Source organism: Homo sapiens, chromosome 5 (assembly GCF_000001405.40).
Source record: "Homo sapiens chromosome 5, GRCh38.p14 Primary Assembly".
Classification (NCBI taxonomy): Eukaryota; Metazoa; Chordata; class Mammalia; order Primates; family Hominidae; genus Homo; species Homo sapiens.
Genome location: NC_000005.10, coordinates 126,084,297 through 126,109,829, shown reverse-complemented (window position 1 = coordinate 126,109,829; position 25,533 = coordinate 126,084,297). Strand labels below are relative to the sequence as shown.

At 37.8% G+C, this 25,533-nt stretch overlaps 1 long non-coding RNA gene across 1 annotated transcript in view; it reads left to right on the top strand.

Moving 5' to 3' along the window:
• LOC124901056 (uncharacterized) overlaps nt 1-25,533 on the top strand; it is an 891,204-nt gene that overhangs the window by 260,469 nt on the left and 605,202 nt on the right. Inside the window, exon 2 of the long non-coding RNA XR_007058919.1 lies at nt 11,669-11,823. This is a non-coding gene — a long non-coding RNA (uncharacterized LOC124901056). The remainder of the gene's footprint in view (nt 1-11,668; nt 11,824-25,533) is intronic.

The window sequence follows — 25,533 nt, the reverse complement described above, 5'->3', positions numbered from 1 at the left end:
GAAAACAAACACAGGTATATAAAAAACTATGAATATATGTGAGGGTTTCTACCCTAGAATGAAGAGCTTAGCAACCAGCTTTGTGATATTTAAATGCAATTCAAGCTAACCAAAGGTTTTGTAGACTTGAATTATGTGACCAAAGACTGAACCAATGTCAGGAAAATACATAAATGATTAAAATGACCACCTGTATTATGAAAAAAATGGAAAGATTTGTTTTCTATTTTAATTGTTTTTGACATGGGAATCAAATTCTGTCTGCATCTCAGATTAACTACTGAAAATTTAAAGTCTTAGAATAAAGATTTTTTTTAAACTTTTTTTCTGAGAAATTAAAATGGAACTTTCTTTTTAAGTTGTGCATTTGCTTTTCATATACAAAATTGATATTGATTTGAGTACTATGGTTAACTAACATGAACAAAGAAAAATATCCCAGTTAAGAATGCCATATTTGATTTTCCATTTTAAAGAGGTCAGGCTTGGCAGTTAAAAAAAAACAAGAAAGCTCAGTTATCTTTAAGCATCGGACTAACACTTCAGTATATTTTTGTTGTTGTCATGTAGATAACCTGTTCTTAGCCCACACATGTTAGTACACTAGTTATATGGCAAATCTCACATTACATGCTCAATTATTTGAAAGGGATGATATTTGTCATTATTATGAATTCTCTGGTGACTTTGTCATTGTAACTAGACCTAGGCCAGTTCAATTAAAGTCTAGTGTTTCAAACTGCTAAAGAGATAACAATGGTCAGCTTACACATGTGAAAATGTAATGTATGTAATAACAAAGGAAATACAAAGTGAAATAACAATGTAGCTTTTCTTCCACCAAATTATAAAAATGAAAAATAAAATATTCATGAGGGAGTGAACAAATGACCACTGTTATATATGCCAGGTGGAATTTTTGCAGAATTTTGCTCCTTAGTTCAGCTAAAACTGGGTTCCTGTCACAAGACCAGGAAAATGTAGGCACGTGGACACATTGAAGGTGAGTAGAGCAGGATTTTACTTGGAGAAAAGGGAAAAAAAGAAAAAAACGTAGCAAAGTGAGATGGAGTCCTGCTAGCAGGCCCCCCACCTCACAGATTGAATCCTGTGCTACCACACAGGAATTGAAGAGGCAGGCTTCTCCCCTCCCTGCCCGTGGTTCCACCCCATTCTTTCAGTGTGTATGTGGGCATGCTCAGACAAGGCCCTGGGCAGGGAGGGGAGCATGTACGAAAGCATCCAATGTAAACACTGGTGGGCGGGTTGGAGATTCTCCATGGACCCCTTTTTAACTGCCTAGGCATTTGGCTGTCTGAGAATTATACAGTATTATAATATTTTTGAAGACAGGCCAAAAGTCTTAAGAATATTCAAATTCTTTAAGAAACCTAACATATTCTAGAATTTTGCCTAAGGAAAAAATCAGATATATACAAAATAATCATGCCCTAGAACATAAGGTAACATTGTTTATAACTTTGAAAACTGGAAATAAGCTAACATTTGAATAATAGAGAATTGATCAAATTAGTTATGAAACACCCAGAAAATAAAAGTATTTTATATATGGTATAATATGGTGTGATAGAAAAAATATGAGTGTTTTTGTTTAGTTTCTAATTTTTTCTAGTGGTATGATTGGTTTTTAAGTTTGGGTAAATGGTCGTTGAACATATGTTTTATTGTATTTGATAATTGATTACTGTGGGTTAAGAATTTATGTATCTTTGCAGGGGTTCCTCTGCTTGCTTTGTTAACAATGGTCTCAATTGAACAGAAGTCAGCATTTCCTAAATGTACTCCTATGAATACTATTGTAATAAGGGATGCAAAATATTCAGATTACAAGTTATGTGTGCAGAGAAAATACAAATTTCTATTTTATGTATTGATGGTTGATCTTCCTCAGTAGCTTCCACCTGCTGAGCAGGAAAATAAATGTAACTTAATGTTGAATCTGTTAAAACCTTAGATCTAATAATTTAATACCTTTGGTAATTCCATTCTTTTAAAAATGCCCATTTTCTTAGATTTCTCAGTCTTTTGTCCTCCTCCAAACTCTTCTGAGAGATGACCCTCTAGGAAGGGAGAATTTATGCCATATTGTGGAAGAACAAGAGCCTGAGATGGTTGCACCCTGGTTTCCTTAGTAACCCTTGGGTAGCAAAGCTTATAAACCAGCAGAGCCAAGAGTCACAGAGACAGAAAGAAAAAATCTGTTAGTCATTAAATGAAATTGTGAGATGTGTGACTTTTACTACTTGAGTCATTGTATTAGTTTGTTAGAGCTGACATAACAAAGTACCACACATTAGGTGGTTCAAACAACAGAAACTTATTTTCTCACAATTCTCAAGACTGATCTCAAGTGAGATCAGGCGTCGGCAGGGTTGGTTTCTTCTGAGGCCTGACTCCTTGGCTTGCAGATGCCTCCTTCTAGTGATGCACATGGTCTTCCCTCCGTGTGCATCTGTGTCCTAATCTCTTCTAAGGACACCAGTCATATTGAATTAGGGCCTTAGTCCCTTCAGGCTGCTACAATAAAATACCGTAGACTAGGTAGCTTTTATAAAACAGAAATTTATTTTTCACAGTTGTGGAGGCTGGGATGTCTAAGACCAAGGCACCAGCAAGCTTGATGTCTGGTGAGGACCTGCTTTCTGGTTCACAGATGGCACCTTCTAGTTGTGTTCTTACATGGTGGAAAGGGCAAGACAGCTTTTTGGGATCTCTTTTTAGAAGGGCACTTGTGTGGGTTTCACTCTTATGACCTAATCATCTCCCCAAAGCACCACTTCCTAATGCCATCACTTCGGAGTTTAGGATTTCAGAATATAAATTTTGGAGGACAAAAATATTCAAATCATAGCAGGGCCCATTCTTAATGATTTCATTTTAATTTACTGATTTAAAGGCCCCGTCTCCAAACACAGTCAGATTCCAAGGCATTGAGTGTTAGGACATCAACATATACATTTTATGGGGATGGGAAGAAAAAAATTCAGCCTATAAAAATCAGCGTTCTTTGTATTCTGGATGTGGGATAAGACGCATACATTGGTCATTGGTTCAGAGCATATTTAGCACTGTGTAGGACTATACCCCAAATCTGTGAGATATTTCCTTCCAGCTTCTGAATGATGTTCTGCATGCAAGGATCATTAAATATCGTAAGTTCCACCTGATTGCCTTATTTCTTTCAGAATAAAACGGCTGAGTTTTTTGTTAAAATCATAATATTTAAAAAATACCACCTAATCAATTCATGATTACTAATCACAATAAGGAGAGTCTCCAATGGGAAAAACTGCTACTCCTTTATAATGGAAAGGGTCCAGTAGTTGACTGGTTACCTGAAACACTGGACAGTATCCCAAGGCTCAGCATTGTTCTCTGTTCCTGGCATATGAGACACACTTTAGCCAGATGAAGTTTATTGAAGGAAGGCTTGAGGGCTCAATTTCTGCATAACCTCTGACTTGCCAACATGGCTACATTGTTTTGAATGTATTTATCAAGCTCCGGTATAGCTGTATGAAGAGCCAACCTTATAGCTGCCTGTTCACTGGGAGTGTCCTCTTTAGTGAGAGCCTTGTGGTGAGTCATCAACCAGTGAGAACAATATTCTTGCACCTTAGGCTATTTCACATACTTCTCCAACTCTCCTTTAATCAATTTCTTTTCTGTTTTTCACAAATGCTTGGCTATTTTTAGGCAAAGTATTAGCCACATCCGTGTATTGTTGTAGATCTCTGCCTCAGGTCACATCTCTTTTCAGGCAAAGTCGGCCAAAAAGTCTACACTCAAGATCAGCCCGCTCATTTCTCACTACATTAAACATACGCTTAAAGTATGGCCTGACAATTTACTTCTAAGAATTTGCTGAAGGCATATAAAAGCACATATTGATAAAGGATTTGTACATATGCATTCTGGGTGGTTTTATTCTTAATAACTCCAAAATGGAAACAATTAATATGTGAATAGATAAGTTATGATGTAAATAAACCATCAAATGCTACCAAGCATCACAAATAAACTGCTGATTTATGTGTCAACATGAACAAACTACACAGATTTTGTGTTGAACAGAATAAAACAGGCAAAAAATATATACTGTATGATTTCATTTATTTAAACTACTAGAACAGGCAAAACTAAAGTGCTAAAAATCACATCAGTGGTTCTCTATAGTGGGAGTGGGTGTGGGGACAGGGACTGCAAAGAAGTACTGGTCTACGCAGACGTGCAGTAACCAGAACTCATCAAACTGTACACTTAATTAAACTGTGGAATTTATTGTATGTGAATTATACTTAATAAAGTTGATTTAAAAATAAGTTCTGTTCAATGGAATTTCTCCGTTTTTCAATATCATCCAAGGCTACTCACAAGTGGGGCTATAATGACTATAGCAATACACTTGCCACTCATACCAACATTTAATAAAGTGCCATCTGCAAACAAGGCTTGAATGATTTTCTCCCCAGCCATAGAGAATTTTCTCTAAGGCCCTATGTGTGGATTTAGGAAATATGGCTTATGTGGCAGGCACATTGGGAAATGGATCCATCTGCTCATGTAAAATTCTTGTGTTTTTATGACCTTCTCAAGCCGAATCTTGCATATATTACTTCTACTTGGTAAAGAGAAACTGTTGGGCATTCCAAGTTTTATGAGTTGATGCATCAGATAACACCAAGGTCATGATGAGCAGTACAGATCAGAGGCTACTGTTTACTCATGTCCTGTGCTCATGTTTCTGATCTCTAGAGGACTATCAGCAGCAAGCAGTTATTTTTTATTATAAAAGGCTCACTGAAAAGAGCATAGCTTTGTTTCAGAACCCAGGTGTCACTGTTGTGATTCCCTATCCAGTTTTGCAGTATGCTCCCTGGTATTCCAATCTGCCTCAGAGACTAAGTGCAATTGAACCTTCGTGGTCATAAAGAACAACTAGCAAAGCTATTTATGCCAGACAGCTTTCTCTTGCTCTAGGGTATTCTCCTTGTTAACAGCCTTTCGGGCTATTCAGAAAAATAGTTTTGAACAGCATATTTGAATATGGCATATGTTGTTTCTAAAACCCAGGGTCCCACATACTTCTGTACCATGTAGAAGTAGAAAATGTACAGTAAAATATGTCACTTCTGGACACATAGGAACAGCCATAGGATTGCAGGCCTTGACTTTTCCTTGAATTTACTCTGAATTCTGGCACATAAATGTCAGTCTGAGATATCTAGAGTACCTGCTATCACTCACTCTCTAAATCCTAGTAATGTGATGACATCACCATACTAGAGGAATATAATCCATGAGACAGTTAGATGATTGAAGCTTTTGCAAACTGAATTGTGACATAAAGACAGAATTGATAAGTCTTTTGTGTATGGTTGTCCTTTCAAAAATTTTCCCCTTCTTGATTAATAGCTGCATACCATCTTCTAGTTTATGTGCTAATTTGTTCCAGTAAAGAGTTCTCATCTTTATTTTCAGCAAATTAAGTTTAAACAATAATCCATTGTAATTTTTCAAGCTTTTTTTCATAGTGCACCTGCATGGGTTTAACACTTGGGCTTTCCAGCTTGACCTGGCTAATATATATCCCTATGTCAGTAGAAAGGCTAACCTGGAGTTTCAGGAGACAGGCAGGTGACCTGGGTACTCAATTCATTACATTGCACCATTGACCAATGTATGTTTTGTTTCTCCATATCTAGAATACACAGAAACATGACCCAAGTGATAGACGTATATAAGTGGCAGGTTTCACTATCACATCAGATGACTCACAGAATTTTTGTTTCTGTCTTTATAACCCTTTGTTTTGCTGGTTTAGAAGCCTTAGTACTTAAAGGGTGTGAAGGAACCCAGAATTCAGCAATCTCAAGATCCCCAACTCTTTTATTTCACAGCCTTCTCTTCAGGAAGTATTCTAAGACTGGCTTAGTATCTCCCAACCCAAAGTCAGAGGAGGAGAAATGAGTTCAAACCTTAAAACTTAAACTTGGTCTTTTTGTTTATAGCAGAGAAGTTTAATTTTTCCTCACACCTACTTGCTTTGAAATCTTTACATAATTCTAGAAATCTTGACTATCTGATATTCCTGTTCAAAGAAGGATATTAAAAGTGGAAAATCAGAAGAAGTGAAGGCCTGCTGGAAGCAACACACTGTTGGCATGAAGAAAATAGAAAAAACTGATACATAGTAGCAAAAGACAAGAAAAATATTGCTAATATAAGAATTCAGAATGTTATCTATAGACTCTCTATGTATTCTAAATGCTCTGACATGAATAGGTATTACCTTTACATTCATAAAAAAGTGTTATGGGATATTCTGAAATCATTATACTACCTGGAATCAGGTAGTATAATGCCTTTAGTTTTGTTCTTTTTGTGCAAGGTTGCTTTGGCTATTAGGAGATTTTTTGTGGTTTCACTTGATTTTAGGATTGCTTTTTCTATTTCTGTGAAAAATGCCATTGGAATTTTGATAAGATTGCATTAAATATGCAGATCACTTTGGATAGTATGGAAATTTTAACAATTTTCTAATCCATGAACATGGAATATCTTTCCATTTATCTGTGTATTCTTCAATTTCTTTCATTAATGCTTTGTAGTTTTCAGTGTTTAGATCTTTCATCTCCTTGGTTAAATTTATTCCTAAGTAGTTTATTTTATTTTTTTTCATGTTATTGTAAATGGAATTGTTTTCTCAATTTCTTTTTCAGCTAGTTGGTTGTTAATATAAAGAAACACTACTGATTTTTGTACGTTGCTTTTGAACTTATACTTTACTAAATTAATCTATTCTAACAGTTTTTTTTAAAGTAGAGTCTTTAGGATTTTCTATATATAACATCATACCGTCTTCAAATGCAGTCTGTTTTACTTCCTCCTTCCTGATTTGGATGCCTTTTATTTCTTCTTGCCTAATTGCTCTGACTAGGGCTTCCGGTACTATATTGAATACAAGTGGTGAGAATAGGCTCACTGTTTTGTTCCTGATCTTAGAGGAAAAGCTTTCAGCTTTTTACCATCAAGTATAATATTAACTGTGGGCTTGTCACCTATGGGCAAGCCCACAGTTAATATTATATTTATTATGTTGAAGTACATTCCTTCTATACATAATTTGTTGAGATTTTTAATCATGAAAGGATGTTGACTTTTGTCAAATAATTTTCTGTATATATCGAGATGATTGCATGATTTTATGTTTTATTTTCTTAATGTGGTGTGTCACATTTATTGACTTGTGTATGTTGAACCATCCTTGTGGCCCAAGAATAAATCTTACTTCATCAAGGTGTATAATCCTTTTAAAGTGTAGTTGCATTTAATTTGCTAGTATTTTGTTGAAGGTTTTTGCATCTATGTTTATCAGGAATATTGGCCAGTAATTGTCTTTTTTTGTAGAGTTTTAAACTATGCTAATTCAGACAGCATGGTACTGGCATAAAAAATGGACGGATAGACCAATGGAAGAGAAGAGATGGCACTGACATAAATCCATGCACTTAACAGCTAACTGATCTTCAACAAAGGTGCTAAGAAAACACACTGGAGACAGTAGTCTCTTTAATAAAGGGTACTGGGAAAACTGGACCTTTATCTCATACCATTTACAAAAATCACCTCCATCACTCAGGAAAACCCCCCAATTCATCATTTTGAGTCCGAGTGTGACCTGATTTTTCCTGGATGCTGGGCAAGAGCTCGGGATGCAGAAAGCTGTCACACTGGCCCTCTGCCTTTGCAAAAAGACAGAGGGTCCACTGAGCTGTTTAACACTTAAGCCATCTGTGGACAGCAAGGCTAAAAGAGTGCACTGTAACACAAGCCCACTTGGGCTTCAGAAGTCACAGTCTCCCACCCCTGGACACTGCCATGGGCCCGGAGCCCAGGGCACTCGTTCTGGCTCCTGCACCTGTAAATCTTTCATCCACATGGTCCAAAGTGGTATGCCCCTTCACTAAAGCATGTGACTCAGAAGGTAAACACATCGTTTTTATTCATATCTTGCTGGTCACACCCACCTGCAAGAGAGGTTGGAAAATTCAGTCTTTCACCTGAGTGTTTATGTGCAATCTACAAGCTGAAATTATGTTAAACGAAAAACTTTAGACAAATTTAACATAGCTTATTTGAACAGAGAATAATTCTTAAATTGGGAAGCATTCAAAACCAGAAGAGGTTCAAAGAGCTCCATTCAAAGGCATGGGCAGTGAGTTTTTTAGACTCAACACCGAAACAAAGTATATAAATCACCTGATTGGCTACTTATCTTATTTAGGCATGGTGTGATGAGACATTTACTTTATTTGGGCATGATCTCGTCAGTTATCTACCTGTGATTGGCTGAAGCTTGGCTACTTGTGTTTGACTGAAACTTGGCTGTTTATCAGAAAATATACTCCTAAATAAAGTTTGTTTGTATATTAAGTTATGTTGTGGTAGAAACTCAAATTATGAAGAAATTGATATGGATAGGAGACAAGAAAATGCTGGGTAGAAGAGAGTGGTACCCCTGCAAAGGCCCCATCTTCAAGTCTGGAAACCTGCGGCCCTAAATGAGAAGAGGCATTCCTGTTTCCCTGCCCCAAAGTTGCATTTTGGTCCACCACACCCTCCTGTCCTGTATCCATATAAACCCCAAACCCCGGCTCCACAAGGAGATAAACAGAAGAGCAGAAGAATGTCAGAATGGCATGGCAGAGAGAAGAGAAAGAGCGTCTGAACGGCAAGGGGAGTTTGGCTGCAGATGATTGGAGAGATTGGCCACTAGGCGGCCAAACTCCAAGGGAAGATCATCTTCCCACTCCTTCCCACTGAGAGCCACCTCCACCACTCAATAAAATCCCTGCATTCATTCTTCAAGTCCGTGTGTGAACTGATTTTTCCTGGATGCTGGACAAGAACTTGGGATGCAGAAAGCTATCACACTGGCCATCTGCCCATGCAAAAAGGCAGAGGGCCCACTGAGCTATTTAACACTTAAATTGTCTGTGGATGGCAAGGCTAAAAGAGTGCACTGTAACACATGCCCACTTGGGCTTTGGGAGTCACAGTCTCCCACCTCTGGACACTGCCATGGGGCCGGAGTCCAGGGGCACTCGCCCTGGCTCCTGCACCTGTCCATCTGCATGCTCCCCCTCCCGTAAGGGGTTTGAGTGCAGAGTGGCCAAACAGACAAGCCATACCCCTGTTGCATATCCTGGGAGGGGGTCAGGGAACTCTCCCATTTCAAACTCATCAAGCCAATGGCTTCCTGGCTATTTAATTTAACAGACTTTTTGGGTGCTTCCCAATTTAAGAATTGTTCTCTGTCCAAATAAGCTATGTTTAATTTGTTTAAAGTTTTTCCTTTAACACAATAGAATTTCAGTTTTTAGATGGCACATAAACACTCAGGCGAAAGACTGAATTTTCCAACCCCCCTTGCAGGTGGGTGTGACCAGCAAGGTATGAATAAAAATGATGTGTTTACCTTCTGAGTCACATGCTTTAGTGAAGGGGCATACCATTTTGGACCATGTGGATGAAAGAAAAACAGAGCATCATTCTAATGCTCTACCATGAGAATGCCAGAGCAAGAATAAGAGATGTCTAGACATCTGATTACTTTGCAGAATGGGATTGCCATAGGAACTTACATAAGAGAAATAAATTCTTTCTTTTTTAAACTATTGTTGTTTTAGACTTCATTAAAGCATCCACCTCTATATTATAAGCAACCTTATATCATTTATTATCTGTATCACTCGTGTTTGTTCCTATAGATACCTTAGAATTTTAGTTACCTTCTCACTTACATATATCTTCTTCACCCAATGTGAAGAGGGATCACAACTTTTGTATACAGTTATGTGCAATGCAGTCCCTGCCATACACATCCAGGTCTATCACAGTTCATTATTTAATAACACAATCATACTCTATTTCTTCATTATCTTGGAGAATAAACTGTTTTACGTAAGTGCATTTACAAATAATATCCAAGCCTCAAAAATATTTCAAAGATCTTTTAAAATTTATTTTTTAACTTTTCCATAAGTTATTGGCTGTGGGAAGGAGATGACAGGAGGGCAGCCAGTTTTAAGAAGAATATCATGAGCTCAGCCTCAGTGTGAAGTGAGGGTGCATTACCCAAGACAAAACATCAAGAAGGAAATTAAGAAGATGGGTAAAATGCTTAAAAACAATAACTCCATCATTAGATAAAATGCAAATAGTTTTTCTGAATGGAAGCCTCGACTAGCAGGAGTGTGGACAACTCTCTTAATTCTCTTCATAAGTTCCTGTGCCCAGGGACAGGAACTTAAAAGATGGCAATGCCTGTGCACAGTCCAGGAGAAGAAAATTACATCGAGGAGAAAAAGCAGCAGGATCCTGGGGCAATTAGTGTGGAAGCAGAAGGCAGCAAGCTGCTGCCATCCCTCATTTCTTTTCAATGAGCTTCGCTCAAACACACTTGAGTGATGACGGTATCTTAACTTAGGGGCAGTGCTGCTCTCTGCCTGAGATATTGATCATAGATCAGGAGAAAAGCTGTCTGCCCAGCCTCATTCTCTCTGGCTTTGGGAGTGCTTGGCTAGGAGACTCTGAATGAGGCATTACAGTACTTACTTGCACATCAACCGTTCACATCACTTCCTCCAATAGATCTTTTGACATAGGATGTTCTTGTGCTGGAGAAATGCTACAGAAGCAATTATTGATCATTCCATTCCAAAAGTGATGAGCCAACATTTATGGTAAAAATGACAGTCCCTTATTCTTGATTCTTAAACCAAAAAGGGCCTGAAAAGCATTTTTTTTTCCTGTACAATTATGGCAAATTTACTTGGTGGAAAAATCTGATCTGAACCCTTATAAGGCTATTTACCATCTTTTTTCATTTTTAAAGCATTTTTTGATGAAATCCATATGTTTCGCTGTAAAAATTATTCTGTTTGATAATGAACAGCCAGCCCAGACCCTACTGGTGGTGGTATCTATATCTGAAATCTGTAGTATATTATGTTTGGAGAATCCCCAAACAATTCTGAATGCTGAAATATTTCTGTCTTTGAGGATTTTGAATGAGGGATTGTAGACCTGTATTTTGTAGGTTTCTCCTGTATCACCCACAATTCATTTGTGTTATTGGGTAGAAATAGACATTTTCTCCTGTTGAGCTTTAGCTTTTGGTTCAGTCTTGTTGAAAGAGAAAACAATCCAGCAAACCTATTCCTGGAGTCAGTTCTTTTAGTCTCATGTAAAGCCTGCCAGGATCTCCAGGGATGCTGTGACACACAGCATTCCAAACAGAGAACTAAGATACTGAGTCTGCAAAAGGGAATTTGGGATCATAGAGGAAACTGCATTCAGAATCCATGAGATGCACAATCCTTTACATTTACTTCTACCAATATGATATAAGTACTTTCTACTTAAACTTTTCCTCTCCTCCCCTAAGTTAGTGTACCCTACATAGTGTGTATATATATAGCCTTTCTGTGCTCTACTTTTTCACCTGTGCTCAAGGATAGATTTTTTTATTAACTTGTTTATCTTAAGCTGACAATGTTTAATTGTTACTTGTTTTGAAATTTACATATTAGTAGAGAATAAACATTAAAGAAAGCCATTAACTATTAATTGTGCATTTCAGGAATCAGCTGGCTGGAGGAATTTTGGAAGGGGTGAGGCATACACTTTCTTCTATGTTCCTGAAACCACAACATTGTTAGGACTCATCTGTTCATGAGACCAGACCAATAGAAAATGAGCACTTCGTGGATAAAAAATACAGATGGAAACTTAGTGGTGAGTTAGACATAGTTCAGAGTTCTGATTATAAAAGAATTTTCTTCATGAAATGGTTGTTACAAATATTCTATAAGAGTATAGTGTTTTTATAGCTGTGTGCAAGCACACACATGTCTTTGTTTTGTGTTGTTTTTATTTTTATTTTTTCTGAAAAGCATCTCTACAGAGAAGTCTGATGTCTGGTACTTGCCAATGTCATATGCAGCCAGGTTGTATAAAGGAGAAGGTATATCTGGTGAATTCCCATAATCTACGACACTCATGAGCCTGAATCTGCACAAATAATAGTTTGCCAGAGATGAGGCAATCCATGCATCTCTCCTTCTGGCAGTTTATTAGTCTATTCTTGTGTTGCTATAAAGAAATACTTAAGGCTGGGTAATTTATAAAGAAAATAGGTTTAATTGGCTCACAGTTCTGCAGTCTGTACAGTAAGCATGGCATCAGCATCTGCTAGGCTTCTGGTGAGGCTTCAGGGAGCTTTCAGTCAATCACAGTGGAAGGCGAAGGGGGATTCCAGCATATGAGCCCAGCCCAGAGTCTAGGACCTCCTTCTTTTCTCTCTTGCTCCTTCTCTGGCCATGTGACATGAGAGAGAAGAGGGAGGTCCTAGGCTCTTTTAAAGAACCTGATCTTGCATCAACTGAGTGAGAACTCACTTATAACCAAGAGGATGGTGCTAAACTGTTCATAAGGGATCCGGCCCTGTGACCAAATCACCTCCGACCATGCCCCACCTCAAACATTGGGAACCACATTTCAACGTGAGATTTGGAGGGACAAACATCAAAACCATGGCAGGCAACATGGGAAGAGAACCTTGAAAACCTTGGCATTGCATTGGAGTGGCCAACATGCAGGCTCTCCTTCCTTCTGCAGCAGGAGAAGTTTAGAGTAATGAGTTAAAGTTTGAGAAAATAATGCCCAGAATCGAACAAAAGGTTTTAACTTTTCTACAAACACAGGTACACAGCAATGAGAAAACCTGTATCCTAGATCAATAACAGTTCAGTCACCCCATGAACAGTGTCACCCCATGCTTCCTAGACCACCCCAGCAGGTACAATGTCGTAGACCATACTTTATCAAACTAATTTAATGAATGTATTAGTAACATGCCTTTATGTCACTGTAGTAAGGAGTAGTGTATGCTGCCTAGCATAGGGTTGTGCATTGCATCATCTGTCACTATTCTGCTGGATATTACAGTGCATTTCATAAGCACCATAGCATTTACACTGCAGACCTGCAAGATTACTTTTTATAGTCCCTATTATGTAAAGTCTAACTTCACGTCTCTGTAGCTGTATGAAATACACTGTTTGCTTCATCTCTGTCACCTGCCACCTTTAACATTCAAGGAAATATATTATCACCAATCACTGCGAGTCCTAAATTATGACATCTTGACAGAAAAGGCTTTTTTTATCCACTTGTTTTGTTGAGCTGGCAGAGTCTGCAGAAAGGTTGGGGGAGGAAAGAAGAGAAAAGTTCTGATTAAACAATATCTTAATATAGTGGTGTCTGTGGGTCAAAAACGTTTTTGTTTTTATTTTCTAGTTTCTTTGATTATCACTGTGTAATAATGAGTAAATAAAACTCTTATGGTTTTAAAAATTTGACCATGATATGAAAAAAGCGGAAAGAAAATGTCAGACTTAAAGTGATAGTGTATTTGAAATATTAATATGGATCTCATTCAGAGAAACTTTTTGTTGCTTTCTACCTTCTCTTTTTTGCTGTACAAATGGACTAATTATATGGGACAGAAACACATTTCGAATGAAAGTTAATGTTTAGTTTCAGGTACTTCAACTAGCCTCTGCATATCATTAAAAGTTATTGCAAAGAGCATCCTAAAATGTTCTTCATAACAAATGTTAGTGCCTTTTGGGTGTGAGAACTACATGCTGCTATAAATCCTTTAAAAATGTTGGTGAGTGACTACAGCTTTATGATTGACATGTTTCTCGGTTCACTTTAGAGGCAGTTTAATATTTTTATGTGGAAAAACTATAGAAGAGATCATGTCACTTTGATTTAATTGTTTCTTGAGGACTTATTATTATTACCATTTTTGAGATGGAGTCTCGCTCTGTAGCCCAGGCTGAAGTGCAGTGGCAAGATCTTGGCTCACTGAAACCTCTGCCTTTCACCTCCTGAGTTCAAGTGATTCTCCTGCCTTAGCCTCCCAAGTAGCTGGGATTACAGTTGTCTGCCATCATGCCTGGCTAATTTTTGTATTTTTAGTAGAGATGGGGTTTCATCATGTCAGCCACGCTGGTTTCAAACTCCTGACCTCAAAGGATCTGCCCGCCTTGGTCTCCCAAAATGCTGAGATTACAGGCATGAGCCACCATGCCCAGTCTTGAGGAATTGTTTATACCTAAATATTATCCCTTTGTAGAGTGGTCAGAAGCACCAGAAATTGAGGAAAAAGGATCAGGTACCTACAATTTGATCCTTTTTTTTTACAGCATCTCACTGTTTTGTAAGAAGATGTATTTTAATGATTCATTTCTTCAGCTACTTCCTAGCAATGGGCATAAGATTTTGCATTTACCCTGTTCTATGTTGGTCCTACAAGATACCAAACAACCAATTTAATTAAGAAAACTGACAGATATAATTTAATTGGCTTACAAATTAACTGATTTAATTGGCAAAGCAGGGATCTTTTAGAGGTGAAGGGTAACTGGACAGTGGAGCCAGGGGTGGGCATTATTCCAGGACTTGATGACTGTAAACTTTATAAGGTATTCAACAGAAGATATGCATCAAAACATGAGATGACCCACTAGAGACTGTTCTTCTTTGGCAAGCAGCATGACTGAGTTGAATTTGAGCCAACTACCTGTCCCTTAAAGATGCCTAAGAAAAACAAACATGCCTGTAAGTCAAAGTGAAGAAGTCAGTTTATTGCAATGGTGGACGTTAGATGGAAGTTGGTGTATAATTTATTCTTTCTTAAATTTATGTTTAGTATCGGCCTCTCTTCCAATAAAAGAGAAGGTATGATTTTTTTGAGTTTGTGTGGTTTTGATAGGGAAATTTGAACACCAGTTTAATGGCTTTAATCCAGAAAAATGGAGTAGTGGAGCCATATCTTTGGAGGAAGCTTTGAATTCTCAGACCAGTAGAAAGACATTTAGTTTACTAAGAGATACTCCTTTTTACTCTCTCTCTCTCTCTCTCTCTGGTGGGATAATATCTTGTAATTAAAACGATTTGAAAGAGGCTAGACCACTGAATCATAAAATTCCTATCGTAGATACTATAGGTCCCATGACTAGTGTAGGCATTTTGGCTGTTTTTCTCTTAACCATTGGCTTTTGTTTTATTCCGCTGGGCTGCTTACATTGGGTGATTTTAGTTTTGCTTTTGTACCAAGCGGTCTGAATTATCTCTTACCTATTATTTAGAATCAGTCTCTTTCCTAACTTCTAAACATCTTTCTCTGTGCTACATCTTCTTAGATGGTATTGTCATTAGCATATTATCTGCGTGTTTCTCTTGAACACATTGACTTGCTTCGATGTTGAAGACACCAGCTCCAGAAAACTTGCATTCTAGACCTGACTCTGCAGCTCACTGACTTTGTGACTTTCAGCAAATTGCCTAACCTTTACAGACGTTGCTCCACCACTGAAAAAATGAGGATACCAAAACTCAATTACCCATACTCATAGCAGTTGTGAGACTGGAAAATGAACAAATGGATGTAAAAATGATGTTTAGGCAAGGATAAGTTTGCTGTGTTTTCAGCCTCATAGTTGAGGAGTTGTGGGCTCAGACAGTTTAAAAGATTTGCCCTAGTCACACAGTGAGTTGGTGAATGAGTGAATGATTAACTTTTCTATCTCTAATTCAGTATTTTTTATTTAAAATTTTAATTAATTCATTTATTTTGGAGTTATAAACATTTGTTGGTGAACATTTTGTTAAAGTATAATATATATAGAAAAATGCATATACCATAATTATACAACTGGATGGAATTTCACAAAGTGAAACAGATCTCATAAATAGAACATCACCAGCACCGCAGAAGCCCTGCTCTCCTCCGCGCCCCCGCCACCACAGACTACCCTGCCTCTTTCTAGATGTAATCCTCTCTACCTTCAATCCAAGGATAACTATACTTGACTACTAATGCCATAGACTAGCTTTGACATTTTATGCAATAGAAGGGGAAGAGGAGCTGTGATGCAGACTTTTCAGCCTCAGCTCATCCCATGAGGAGCTCTGAAATTAACGTGTGGTCAGAGTTATCCCATGTTGGGCCCAAATGGCCAGGTATATTCCCTTTTCTCCATCAATCATTGGCTATGAGTGAGGCAGCTCTCTGCCACTGAAGTGCTTTCTGAAGAATTTGACAGCTGAAAGTAGCCTACTCACAGCTTTCTCAGCAGTGAAGACAGCATATCCTTCCTTAAGAGTATCTGAGTGGTGCATCTCTGTGTCTATCCAATTATAAAAATAGAAACACACGGTATTTACTCTTTTGTTTGATCTTTTTGCTCAACATCATGTTTATGAGATTTATCCATGTTGCTGTGTGTAGCTGTTGTTCATTCTTTTTGTTACATAGTATTCTGTTTGAATATACTACCAATTATGTATCCATTATATTATTGATGAATAACGGGGTATTTTCTGGTTTGTGGCTATTACAAATGGTGCTTCTATGACAGTTATACAGTACATATTTTTGATGGTGAACATTTGCATGTGTTTCTTTTGGTGACTGAATGTTGGTGGTTGGTAGTTAGGCATGTATACACAGGAATAGAATTAATGACTAATATGTATACATACATTCAATTTCAGAGGATAATGCCAAGCAGTTTTTCAAAGTACATGTGAGTTGTTCCACATTCTTCCTTGCCAACAATTGGCATTGTCTCATCTTTTCCATTTCTAACTTTCTGGTATATATATATATGTATATATAGATACTGCGTTAAGGTTTTGGTTTGTATTTCCTAAATGGTTAATAAAGCTGAATCTTTTTAAAGAAAAATTTTTATTAAACACTTAGATATTTTCTTTTGTATAATGTATTTTCAAGTTGGCTCAAACAATGGAAGGAAAATTCACTTGAAAGTAATTTATCAGGTAGTATTTCCATGAAAAGTGTTACTATCCTACGACCCTAGTAGGATAATAAAGGAAATGGAAAGGAAAAGAAGCTAAATAGTAATGGCATATCAAGCAATTTGCACAGAGGATGACTTTGGTTCGGAGCTCCCACAGAGAGTGTACTTTCACAAACCTAGATGGTATAGCCTACCACACACCTAGGCTATAGGTTATCATCTCATTTCCTCCTTGCCTCCCTGTAACCACTATTGTTCTCCATCTCTGTATGTTTAACTTTTTTGTAAGAATCTACATATAAGTGAGATCGTATAATATTTTTTCTTTCTGTGTCAGATTTATTTCTCTTAGTATAATGTCTTCCAGTCTTATCCACATTGTGGCAAATGGCAAGATCTTATTGTTTTTTAGGACTGAATAATATTCCATTACACACACATACACACAAACACACACATATCACACCACACACACACACACAAACACACCCCCCACAGTCTCTTTCTCCGTTTGTCCACAACCACTAAGGTCTTCTTGGCTATTGTGAATGATGCCACAATGAACATGAGAGTGCAGATACATTTACAAGATTACAAGGTGATGATTTTATTTCCGTTGGGTATATGACCAAATGAAGGAATGCTTGGTCATGTGGTAGTTCTATTTTTAGTTTTTTTAAAAAAATTTCCCATAATGGCTGTAACAATCTACATTTCTACCAATGCAGTATGAGAGTTCTCTTTTCTCTGCACTTTAACCATTTGTTATCTTTTGGCTTTTTAAAAAAAGGTTTTTTTAATTTTTTTTATTATTATACTTTAAGTTCTAGGGTACATGTGCACAATGTGCAGGTTTGATACATAAGTATACATGTGCCATGTTGGTTAGCTGTACCCATCAACTCATCATTTACATTAGGTATTTCTCTAATGCTATCTTTCCCCCCAGCCCTCACCCGCTGACAGGCCCTGGTGTGTGATGTTCCCCACTCTGTGTCCAAGTGATCTCATTGTTCAGTTCCCACCTATGAGTGAGAATATGCGGTGTTTGGTTTTCTGTCCTTGTGATAGTTTGCTCAGAATGATGGTTTCCAGCTTCATTAGTGTCCCTGCAAAGGACATGAACTGTTTTTTTTATGGCTGCATAGTATTCCATGGTGTATATGTGCCACATTTTCTCAATCCAGTCTGTCATCGATGGACATTTGCGTTGGTTCCAAGTCCTTGGTATTGTGAATAGTGCCGCAATAAACATACGTGTGCGTGTGTCTTTATAGTAGCATGATTTATAATCCTTTGTGTATATACCCAGTAATGGGATTGCTGGGTAAAATGGTATTTCTAGTTCTAGATCCTTGAGGAATCGCCACACTGTCTTCCACAATTGTTGAACTAATTTACATTCCCACCAACAGTGTAAAAGTGTTCCTATTTCTCCACATCCTCTCCAGCATCTGTTGTTTCCTTACTTTTTAATGATCGACATTCTAACCAGTGTGAGATGGTATCTCATTGTGGTTTTGACTTGCATTTCTCTGATGACCGGTGATGATGAGCATTTTTTCATATGTCTGTTGGCTGCATAGATGTCTTCTTTTGAGAAGTGTCTGTTCATATCCTTTGCTCAATTTTTGATGGGGTTGTTTTTGCATGTAAATTTGTTTGAGTTCTTTGTAGATTCTGGATATTAGCCCTTTGTCAGATGGGTAGATTGCAAAAAATTTCTCCCATTCTGTAAGTTGCCTGTTCACTCCAATGGTACTTTCTTTTGGTGTGCAGGAGCTCTTTAGTTTAATTAAATCCCATTTGTCTATTTTGGCTTTTGTTGACATGCTTTTGGTGTTTTAGTCATGAAGTCCTTGCCCATGCCTATGTCCTGAATAGTATTGCCCAGGTTTTCTTCTAGGGTTTTTATGGTTTTAGGTCTAACATGTAAGTCTTTAATCCATCTTGAATTAATTTTTGTATAAGGTGTAAGGAAGGGATCCAGTTTCAGCTTTCTACATATGGCTAGCCAGTTTTCCCAGCACCATTTATTAAATAGGGAAACCTTTCCCCATTGCTTGTTTTTCTCAGGTTTGTCAAAGATCAGATGGTTGTAGATGTGTGGCGTTATTTCTGAGGGCTCTGTTCTGTTCCATTGGTCTATATCTCTGTTTTGGTACCAGTACCATGCTGTTTTGATTACTGTAGTCTTGTAGTATAGTTTGAAGTCAGGTAGCGTTGGTGCCTCTAGCTTTGTTCTTTTTACTTAGGATTGTCTTGGCAATGAGGGCTCTTTTTAGGTTCCATATGAACTTTAAAGTAGTTTTTTCCAATTCTGTGAAGAAAGTCATTTGTAGCTTGATGTGGGTGGCATTGAATCTATAAATTACCTTGGGCAGTATGGCCATTTCCATGATATTGATTCTTCCTATCCATGGGCATGGAATGTTCTTCCATTTGTTTGTGTCTTCTTTTATTTCATTGAGCAGTGGTTTGTAGTTCTCCTTCAAGAGGTCTTTCACATCCCTTGTAAGTTGCATTCCTAGGTATCTTACTCTCTTTGTAGCAATTATGAATGGGAGTTCACTCATGATTTGGCTCTCTGTTTGTCTGTTATCAGTGTATAGGAATGCTTGTCACTTTTGAACGTTGATTTTGTATCCTGAGACTTTTCTGAAGATGCTTATCAGCTTAAGGAGATTTTGGGTTGCGACAATGGTGTTTTCTAAATATACAATCATGTTATCTGCAAACAGGGACAATTTGACTTCCTCTTTTCCTAATTGAATACCCTTTATTTCTTTCTCTTGCCTGATTGCCCTGGCCAGAACTTCCAACATTGTTGAATAGGAGTGGTGAGAAACAGCATCCTTATCTTCTGCCAGTTTTCAAAGGGAATGCTTCCAGTTTTTGCCGATTCAGTATGATATTGGCTGTGGTTTTGTCATAAATAGCTCTTATTATTTTGAGATGCATTTCATCAATACCTAGGTTATTGAGAGTTTTTAGCATGAAGGACTGTTGAATTTGTTCGAAGGCCTTTTCTGCATCTGTTGAGATAATCATGTGGTTTTTGTCATGGGTTCTGTTTATGTAATGGATTACGTTTATTGATTTGTGTATGTTGAGGGAGCCTTGCATCCCAGGGATGAAGCTGACTTCATTGTGGTGGATAAGCTTTTTGAGGAGCTGCTGGATTCGGTTTGCCAGTATTTCATTGAAGTTTTTCGCATCGATGTTCATCAGGTCTGAAATTCTTTTTTTTGTTTCTCCGCCAGGCTTTGGTATCAGGATGATGCTGGCCTCATAAAATGAGTTAGGGAGGATTCCCTCTTTTTCTATTGATTGGAAGAGTTTCAGAAGGAATGGTACGTGTTCCTCTTTGTACCCCTAGTAGAATTTGGCTGTGAATCTGTCTGGTCCTGGACTTTTTTTGATTGGTAGGCTATTAATTATTGCCTCAATTTCAGAGCCTGTTATTGGTCTATTCAGAGATTCAACTTTTTCCTGGTTGAGTCTTGGGAGGGTGTATGTGTCCAGGAATTTATCCATTTCTTCTAGATTTTCTAGTTTATTTACATAGAGGTGTTTATAGTATTCTCTGATGGTAGTTTGTATTTCTGTGGGATCGGTGGTGATATCCCCTTTATCATTTTTTATTGCATCTATTTGATTCTTCTCTCTTTTCTTCTTTATTAGTCTTGCTAGCAGTCTATTAATTTTGTTGATCTTTTCAAAAGACCAGCTCCTGGATTCATTGACTAAAATTTTAAAGGGTTTTTTGTGTCTCTATCTCTTTCAGTTCTGCTCTGATCTTAGTTATTTCTTGCCTTCTGCTAGCTTTTGAATGTGTTTGCTCTTGCTTCTGTAGTTCTTTTCATTGTGATGATACGGTGTCAATTTTCGATCTTTTCTGCTTTCTCTTGTGGGCATTCAGTGCTATGAATTTCCCTCTACACACTGCTTTAAATGTGTCTCAGAGATTCTGGTACATTGTGTCTTTGTTCTCATTGGTTTCAAAGAACATCTTTATTTCTGCCTTGATTTCGTTACGTACCCAGTAGTCATTCAGGAGCAGGTTATTCAGTTTCCAGGTAGTTGTGTGGTTTTGAGTGAGTTTCTTAATACTGAGTTCTAATTTGATGCACTGCTGTCTGAGAGACAGTTTGTTGTGTTTCCTGTTCTTTTATATTTGCTGAGGAGTGCTTTACTTCCAATTATGTGGTCAATTTTAGAATAAGTGTGATGTGGTGTTGAAAAGAATGTATATTCTGTTAATTTGGGGTGGAGAGTTCTGTAGATGTCTACTAGGTCTGGTTCAGAGCTGAGTTCAAGTCCTGGATATCCTAGTTAACGTTCTGTCTTGTTGATCTGTCTAATATTGACAGTAGGTTGTTAAAGTCTCCCATTATTATTGTGTGGGAGTCTAAGTCTCTTTGTAGGTCTCTAAGGACTTGCTTTATGAATCTGGGTGCTCCTATATTGGGTGCATATATATTTAGGATAGTTAGCTCATCTTGTCGAATTGATCATTTTACCATTATGTAATGGCCTTCTTTGTCTCTTTTGATCTTTGTTGGTTTAAAGTCTGTTTTATCAAAGACTAGGATTGCAACCCCTGCCTTTTTTGCTTTCCATTTGCTTAGTAGATCTTCCTCCATCCCTTTATTTTGAGCCTATGTGTGTCTGTGCATGTGACATGAGTCTCCTGAATACAGCACACTGATGGGACTTGACTCTTGATCCAATTTGCCAGTCTGTGTCTTTTAATTGGGGCATTTAGCCCATTTACATTTAAGGTTAATATTGTTATGTGTGAATTTGATCCTGCCATTATGATGTTAGCTGATTATTTTGCCCGTTAATTGATGCAGTTTCTTCATAGCATTGATGGTCTCTACAATTTGACATGTTTTTGCAGTGGCTGGTACTGGTGGTTTCATTCCGTGTTTCGTGCTTCCTTCAGGAGCTCTTGTAAGGCAGGCCTGGTGGTGACAAAATCTCTCAGCATTTCCTTGCCTATAAAGGATTTTATTTCTCCTTCACTTATGAAGCTTAGTTTGGCTGGATATGAAATTCTGGTTTGAAAATTCTTTTCTTTAAGAATGTTGAATATTGGCCCCCACTCTCTTCTGGCTTGCAGGGTTTCTGCCGAGAGATCCACTGTTAGTCTGATGGGTTTCCCTTTGTGGGTGACCCGACTTTTTCTCTCTGGCTGCCCTTAACATTTTTTCCTTCATTTCAACCTTGGTTTTTCTGACAATTATGTGTCTTGGGGTTGCTCTTCTGGAGGAATATCTTTGTGGTGTTCTCTGTATTTCCTGAATTTGAATGTTGGCCTGCCTTGCTAGGTCGGGGAAGTTCTCCTGGATAATATCCTGAAGAGTGTTTTCCAACTTTGTTCCATTCTCCCCATCACTTTCTGGTACACCCATCAGATGTGGATTTGGTCTTTTCACATAGTCCCATATTTCTTGGAGGCTTTGTTTTTTTTTACTCTTTTTTCTCTAACCTTGTTTTCTTGTTTTATTTCATTAATTTGATCTTCAATCACCGATATCCTTTCTTCCACTTGATCGAGTCAGCTATTGAAGCTTGTGCATGCATCACAAAGTTCTCATGCCATAGTTTTCAGCTCCATAAGGTCATTTAAGTTCTTGTCTACACTGTTTGTTCCAGTTAGCCATTCGTCTAACCTTTTTTCAAGGTTTTTAGCTTCCTTATGATGGGTTTGAATATGCTCCTTTAGCTTGGAGAAGTCTGTTATTACCTACCTTCTGAAGCCTACTTCTGTTAACTCCAAAGTCATTCTCCATCCAGCTTTGTTCCATTGCTGGCAAGGAGCTGCAATCCTTTGGAGGAGAAGAGGCGCTCTGATTTTTAGAATTTTCTGCTTTTCTGCTGTGGTTTCTCCCCATCTTTGTGGTTTTTATCTACCTTTGGTCTTTGATGTTGGTGACCTACAGATGGGGTTTTGGTGTAGATGTCCTTTTTGTTGATGATGATGCTATTCCTTTCTGTTTGTTGTTTTCCTTCTAACAGTCAGGACCCTCAGCTGCTGATCTGCTGGAGCTTGCTGGAGGTCCACTCCAGACCCTTTTTGCCTGGGTATTACCAGCAGAGGCTGCAGAACAGCAAATATTGCTGCCTGATCCTTCCTCTGGAAGCTTCGTCCCAGAGGGGCACCCACCTATGTGAGGTGTCTGTTGGCCCCTACTGAGAAGTGTCCCCCAGTTAGGCTACATGGGGGTCAGCGACCCACTTGAGGAGGCAGTCTGTTCGTTCTCAGAGCTCAAACACCATGTTGGGAGAACCACTGCTCTCTTCAGAGCCCAGATGGAAATGCAGAAATCACCCGTCTTCTGCATCAATCATGCTGGGAGCTGCAGACCAGAGCTGCTCCTATTCAGCCATCTTGGAACGAATCTCTTGACTTTTTGATAGTAGTCCCCCTAACAAGTGTGAGGTGACAGCTCACAGTGGTTTGGTTTGCATTTCCTTGATTAATGATATGGAACACCTTTTATATAACTGTTGGCCATTTTTTTTTTGTCTTCTTTGGAGAAATGTCTATTCAGGTCTTTTGCCCATTTAAATTTTTTTTTTATTATTGAATTGTATGTGTTATCTATGAATTGTGGATATTAACCTTTCATCAGATACAGAATTTGCAAATATTTTTTCCTAATCTGTAGACTGTTTCATTTTGTTGTTTCCTTTCTTGTACAGATGCTTTTTAATTTGTTGTAGTTCCATATTTTTATTTTTGTTATTGTTGCCTGAGTTTTTAGTATGGTATAAAAAAAATCATTGCTGAGGCCAGTGTTCAGATGATTTTCCCCTGTGTTCTCTTGTAGGAGTTTCATAGTTTCTGATCTTATATTTAAATCTGCATTCCATTTTGAGTTGATTTTTTTGTATGATACAAGGTAAGGGTCCAATTTCATTCTTTTGCATGTGGAAATCCAGTTTTGCCAGCACCATTTGTTGAAAAGATAATCCTCCATGTATCCTCTTGGTGTTCTGGTAAAAAAAAAAAAAAAGTTGACCATATATGTTTGGTTTTATTTCTGGGTCTCTGTCCTATTCTACTCATCTTTGTGTCTTTTTTTATGCCAGTATGATACTGTTTTGATTACTATAGCTTTGTAATATAGTTTTAAATCAGTGCTATGCCTACAACTTTGTTTTTCTTTCTCAGAATTGTTTTGGCCATTTGGCCAAACATTTTATGCTTCCATGTAAACTTTAGGATTGCTTTTCTATTTCTGTGGAGAATGTCATTGAGATTTTGATAGGAATTGCTTTGAATCTGTTTATTGCTTTGGGTAGTATGAATATTTTAACAATATTCTTCCAATCCATGAGAACAAGATACATTTCCTGTACGTTTATTTATGTCATCTTTAATTTCTTTTAACAGTGCTTTACAGTTTTCAGTGTACAGGTCTCTCTCCTCCTTGGTTAAATGTATTTCTAAAAAAATTTTTGGTTGCTATTGTAAGTGGGATTGTTTGATTGATTTCTTTTTCAGCTAAGTCATTATTTGTGTATTAAAATGCTGCTGATTTTTTTGTGTTAGTTTTGTATTCTGCAGCTTTAGTTAATTCGCTTACTAGTTCTAGCAGTTTTTTTGTGTGAAATCCTTGCAGTTTTATACATAAAGAATCATGTCATCTACAAATACAGATAGTTTTAATTCCTTCTTTTTGATTTGAATGCCCTTTTGTCTATTTTTTCTAATGTGATTGCTCTTTCTGGGACTTCCAGTAGTATGTTGAACACAAGTGGCAAGAGTAGACATCCTTGCCTTGTACCAGGTCTTCGTGGAAAAGCTTTTAGTTTTTCCCCATTGATTATAATGTTAGTTGTAGAGTTTTCATAAATGGCCTTTATTATGTTGAAGAAATTTCTTTGTTTACCTAAACTGTTAACAGTTTTTATTGGCTGGGTGTGGTGGTTCACTCCTTTAATCCTAGCACTTTGGGAGGCCAAGGCGGGCAGATCACGAGGTCAGGAGATTGAGACCATCCTGGCTAACATGGTGAAACCCCATCTCTACTAAAAATACAAAAAATTGGCCAGGCATGGCAGCGTGTCCCCGTAGTCCCAGCTACTCGGGAGGCTGAGGCAGGAGAATGTCGTGGACCCAGGAGGTGGAGCTTGTAGTGAGCCGAGATTGCGCCGCTGCACTCAGCCTGGCTACAGAGTGAGACTCCGTCTCCAAAAAAGAAGAAGAAAAAAAAAATTTTTATCAAGAAAGGATTTTGGACTTTGCCAAATGCTTTTTCAGTGTCAATTGAGAAAGTTATGTGGGTTTTTTTGTATCTTTTGTTCTGTAAATGTGATGTATCACGTTGATTTCCATATGTTAAACCAGCCTTACATGTCAGGGATAAATCCCACTTTGTCATGATGTATATTCTTTTTTAATTTTTATTTTTATTTAAATAGTTTTGGGGGAAAAGGTGGTGTTTAGTTGGATGGAAAATTTCTTCAGTGGGTAATTTCTGAGATTTTGGTGCACCCATCACTCAAGCAACATACTCTGTATCTAGTGTATAGTCTTTTATCCCTCATCCCCTTCCCATCCCTCCCCCACCCCAAGTTCCCAAAGTTTGTT